This window comes from Homo sapiens, chromosome 11 (genome assembly GCF_000001405.40).
Source record: "Homo sapiens chromosome 11, GRCh38.p14 Primary Assembly".
Classification (NCBI taxonomy): Eukaryota; Metazoa; Chordata; class Mammalia; order Primates; family Hominidae; genus Homo; species Homo sapiens.
The window spans coordinates 62,294,878-62,299,332 of NC_000011.10; the positions used below are offsets into that span (position 1 = coordinate 62,294,878).

General features: G+C 50.6%; 1 protein-coding gene across 1 annotated transcript; it reads right to left on the bottom strand.

Annotated features, from left to right (window-relative positions):
- Positions 1–1,403: 1,403 nt before the first annotated feature.
- Positions 1,404–4,198, bottom strand: SCGB1D4 (secretoglobin family 1D member 4). The gene is made up of 3 exons (NM_206998.2): positions 4,079–4,198; positions 2,595–2,781; positions 1,404–1,542 (listed from the first exon to the last, which is right to left on the bottom strand). Exons 1-3 carry the CDS (start codon positions 4,131–4,133, stop codon positions 1,533–1,535), a joined length of 252 nt encoding a protein of 83 aa, NP_996881.1. The 5' UTR covers positions 4,134–4,198; the 3' UTR covers positions 1,404–1,532.
- Positions 4,199–4,455: the final 257 nt, after the last annotated feature.

The window sequence follows — 4,455 nt, forward strand, 5'->3', positions numbered from 1 at the left end:
GTTTATCACAGGAAGGGCTCACAGAGGCTGGGAGACAATTTAGGAGACATTAATCTGAGTTGAGTTTGGAAGGACTCGGATAAGACTGTTAGGTGGCTGTGTGATGGAAAGGAAGGGACTCGTGGAGGTGACACTGTGGCCATGGAGTAAACAGAACTTAGGGTACGGTGAGGAGTCAGGAGGGAGGGAAGCTGTAGTTGGCTGATTTATGCCTCCATCTCCCAAAAGATATACACATTCTAATCCCTGGAATCTGTGAATGGCCCATTGCAAGATGAAAAAGCATTATGTAGACATGATTCAGTTAAGGATCTTGAGATAGGGACATTATTCTGAATAATCTGGTGCTTCCTAACCCCAACCTCTGTATTTTGTAATTAAAAGTCAGAGAGGGATTTGACACGGAAAGGAAAGGAGATGGGAATGTATCATGGAGGCAGAGGTTGGAGTGATGTGGCCACAGGACCAGCATGGTCAGCAGCCCTTAGTGAACTCGCCCGGAGAGCCCCCAGAAGGAACAGAGCCCTGCTGCCCCCTGACCTCCCCACAGTGATACCAGTGTTGGGCTTCTGACCTTCAGAGGTACAAGAGAATCCGTTGTTTTAAGCCACCAAGCTTTCGGAGGTTTCTTGCAGCAGCCACAGGACACCAAGCCAGGAACCTGTGGCGTCTCCCTATGTCCTGGTCAGGGGGCTTGCTAGGTTGGGTGCATTAGCCTGGATGGGCTTATGGAAGGGAGAGCAGGCTGGGGGCAGACCCTGTGCTCAGTTTTACATCCTGCTCCTGAAATGACTGTGGAGTGTGCACTGGGAGCTGTCCAGTTGGCAAGGGGTGCTGGTCTCTGGAGCTCTTGAGAGAGCTTGAGGAAGGAAGCATTTGCCTCAGGTGCTGGTGAGTGAGGCGGACACTGAGGAGTGCTCTGAGTGTGGGGAGTAAAACAATGTGAACTCCAGGTTGAAACCTGGAGATGCCCTCAAATTGTGATAAATGGAAAATAAAGTATACTGGACATGACTTGGTGCAGAGAGAGCACCAAGCAGGCTGGCTGTGCATCTGAGGGGACAACAAACTAGGGCTAGGGCTGCTGCTAGTGGGAACCACGTGCCTGGACACCAAGGCAGGCTGGGAGATCCCTCAGTCCAAGACCAGCAGGACCACTGTAATTGCTGTTTTCTATTGCCATGGTTTTCATTCGCGAACGCAGGATGGGAAATCTGTAAGGAATCCAGGATGATTTCTGCAAATATTTCCTTCTGGGATGCTTGCATTCAGGCCCCATTAGTAACAGAATGCTGGTTACTCTAGAGTTGATTATCAGCCACAGCAAAAGTCCACTCCCCTATGGAAACCACCCTCGATTCAAGGCCCGAGACTGCAGGATCATAACAAGACCAGTGGAGATGTGCAGGGCAAGTGATTTATTAAAGCAACGTGTTGAAACCTTTACAATTTTTAGTGAAGATCAGGGTGTCGTTGAAAGACTTTGGAAACCAGGTTGAGCATTTTTACATGTCACACACCACATTTTTTCACTATTTCCACCTGAAATCAAAAAAAAGAAAGAAAGAAAGAAAGGTGAGGTCAGTCATGCTGCTGCTGGTGATGATAGGCTAACATCAAAGAGGCCAATGGGATTTTGCCCCAATGGCAATTGGAAAGGCAGAGGCAAGAATTCAGTTTGGGAAACTGAGGCCTAGACCTGGTGGCCTTACAACACCCATTCTGGTGAGAAAGCAGCCTTTCCCCACCAGACCAATAGACCTGGGAAGACCCAGGAGTTAGGCCCAGGGTTTTCATGGAGGAGGAGGGGAGGGGTTGACAGTGCAGCAAGAGGTTGTTGTCTGGGCTGTCCCAGGTCTGTGGAGTCTCCTGATCCCTGTAATGGGGGACCCAGGGCTCTGAAGCCAGGCAGGGCAGGGAGGGCTTCTGGGAAACACACCTTCCAGGAGACTCCAGTCTTCCCATGGGAGAATTCTGCCTAACGGCCAGGGGTCTTATCAGCCCTGACCCTGCAGCTTCTATGGGTATTTGCAGCCAAACCTCAGGACAACAATCCAGAGGCAGCCAGGCTGAGAGGGCCCTGGAATCTCTGATTTCTTGAGAAAGACATAGTGAGAACATCCCACTTGTGTGGCGTTGCAGTAGGTAGAGCAGCGAAAAAGTCTTGGCCCACTGGCTGTGGTCAGGAGAGTGTCATGGATGAGGAGTGGATAGTGGGCCCTGAGGAGCTGCAAGGGGCTCCTGGCTCTGCAGAAGCTGCACAGGAGCCCAGTTCACCAGCACCCTGTCTGTGGGAGGCCCAGCTCTAGGTCCCCTCAAGCCTCCTCTCCCTGTTCAAATCTCCCACACTCCCTGGGACATCCCATAGTGACCGTGTCCACTGCGTGAGGGTAGGTTGACCTCAGGAAAGATCCCAGCAGGGAGGCGGCCGTGCTTGGCCCTTCACCATCCCTGCCTTGGCCCTAGCTCACTCCCCATGTCCTCAGCACACTCTGGGGACACAGCATCCAGGCAGGTGACCTGACAAGAAACATGCAGGAGGCTGTGTGCAGCTGAGTTGAATTCTGCCTCTGCATAAAGGAGAAAGAAATTACCAGGACTTTTTCAATGAGAGTCGTTTCTTAAAAGATATCTGATCGGTGCAGTGCTTCACTTCCAACTTGGCTGCAAGAGCTTCTGGAGGTGGATTAAGTTTGGCAACTTGGAGGTTTACCGCAGCGTCACTTAAGAATAAGAAGACTGTGATCTCAGAAGCAACAGCTGGGCAGACAAGAGCATGGGCTGCAGCACAAAAATAAAAATATTGTTGATGTTAGGAAAGTCGATTTTTCTCTCATGGCTCCCTGAGGTTACACCAGACAGGATCCCCTGGGTTCTATGTTTCTATACCATTATTGTGCTGATGACAATACCAGAAACTCCAGGTGTGACTTTCTCCGGGTCACACAACAAAGGGAAGAGCTTCATATCCTCAGCTAGACTTCTTTTTCTTTTTTTTGAGATAGGTTCACCCAGACTGGAATGCAGTGGCACAATCTCGGCTCACTGCAGCCTGAATGTCTTGGGCTCAAGCGATCCTCCCTCAGCCCCCAAAGTAGCTGAGACTACCAGTGCCTGCCACCATGCCCGCTTTTGTGTGTGTGTGTGTGTGTGTGTGTGTGTGTGTGTGTTTTGTTTTGTTTTTTTTTTTTGTAGAGATGGGGTTTCGCCATGTTGCCCAGGCTGGTGCTGAACTCCTGAGCTCAAGTGATCTGCCCACTGTGGCCTCCCAAAGTGCTAAGATTACAGGAATGAGACACCATGCCTGGCCCACAGCTTGACTCTTGACAACCATAACCTTACTTCATTCTCATAGCCACTCCTGGCAGAAGCTTTAACCACCAGTGATAAGAGGAGGCTCAAGGAGGGTGAGCATTGTGCCCAAGATCAAGGGGTGGGAAGTGTCGAAGCCCAGGTTCACCCCAGACCTCACATTACATCATCTGACACAGATCCCATTCAGAAGTGAAGCTCAGGCAGAAGAATTCCTAACATTTGCCTGAACTGATTTTTCTATAAAACTTCTTAGATACTGGGGATTAGAAGAAATAGCTCTAAGCAGCCAGGCGCAGTAGCTCATGCCTGTTATCCCAGCACTTTAGGAGGCCGAGGCGGGCAGATCATCTGAGGTCGGGAGTTCGAGACCAGCCTGACCAACATGGAGAAACCCCATCTCTACTAAAAATACAAAATTAGCCAGCTGTGGTGGCCCATGCCTGTAATCCCAGCTGCTCAGGAAGGCTGAGGCAGGAGAATCACTTGAACCCCGGAGGCAGAGGTTGCAGTGAGCCAAGATCATGCCACTGCACTCCAGCCTGGGCAACAAGAGCAAAACTTCTCAAAAAAAAAAAAAAAAAAAGGAAGAAGAAAGAAGAAATAGCTCTAACCTTTATGAATCTTATTCAACAAGCACAGAAAAGGGTTTGGAATTTTGTTTGGTTTTGTGCAGACCCCAACCCAAAGCACAAATAGGTGATCTTGTGCTCAGAAGAGGGTGCATCCCAGGGGCTGGTGCTGGACTCATGACTGATGTACTCACCCTGGTAGCAGCAAAGGGCCAGCGAGACCATCAGGAGACACACTGACAGCCTCATGGTGGCTTATTCGGCTGTGAGCTCAGCTTTCACAATGAGTGATTTGGATTCGACTCCAGGAGCCTGTGTAGTCATGGAGGCCAGGGCTATTTGTACCTAGGGAGCCTGGCTGGTCCTACCTACCGGGGCACCTGGTAGGTCATGAGGCCTGGCTCCCAGCCCGCCCTTCCAAGCCAGGGCTGCTGCCGTCCATCAATGTCACCTCCTTAGGAATCTCTGCATCTGAGTGGGGCGGAGCACAAGACAGCAGCCTTGTGAGAACTCTGCTCTGTGCTCCAGGTGAGTGTTCAGGTACATCTGGAAATGTTCCTGGGATCCTCAA

Excerpts from the sequence above, each read along its gene's own strand:
- SCGB1D4 (NM_206998.2), bottom strand. The coding sequence starts at position 4,133 with ATGAGGCTGTCAGTGTGTCTCCTGATGGTCTCGCTGGCCCTTTGCTGC. Across the intron at positions 2,782-4,078 it reads GGCCCTTTGCTGCTACCAGG|CCCATGCTCTTGTCTGCCCA; the intron begins GTGAGTACATCA and ends TTTGTGCTGCAG.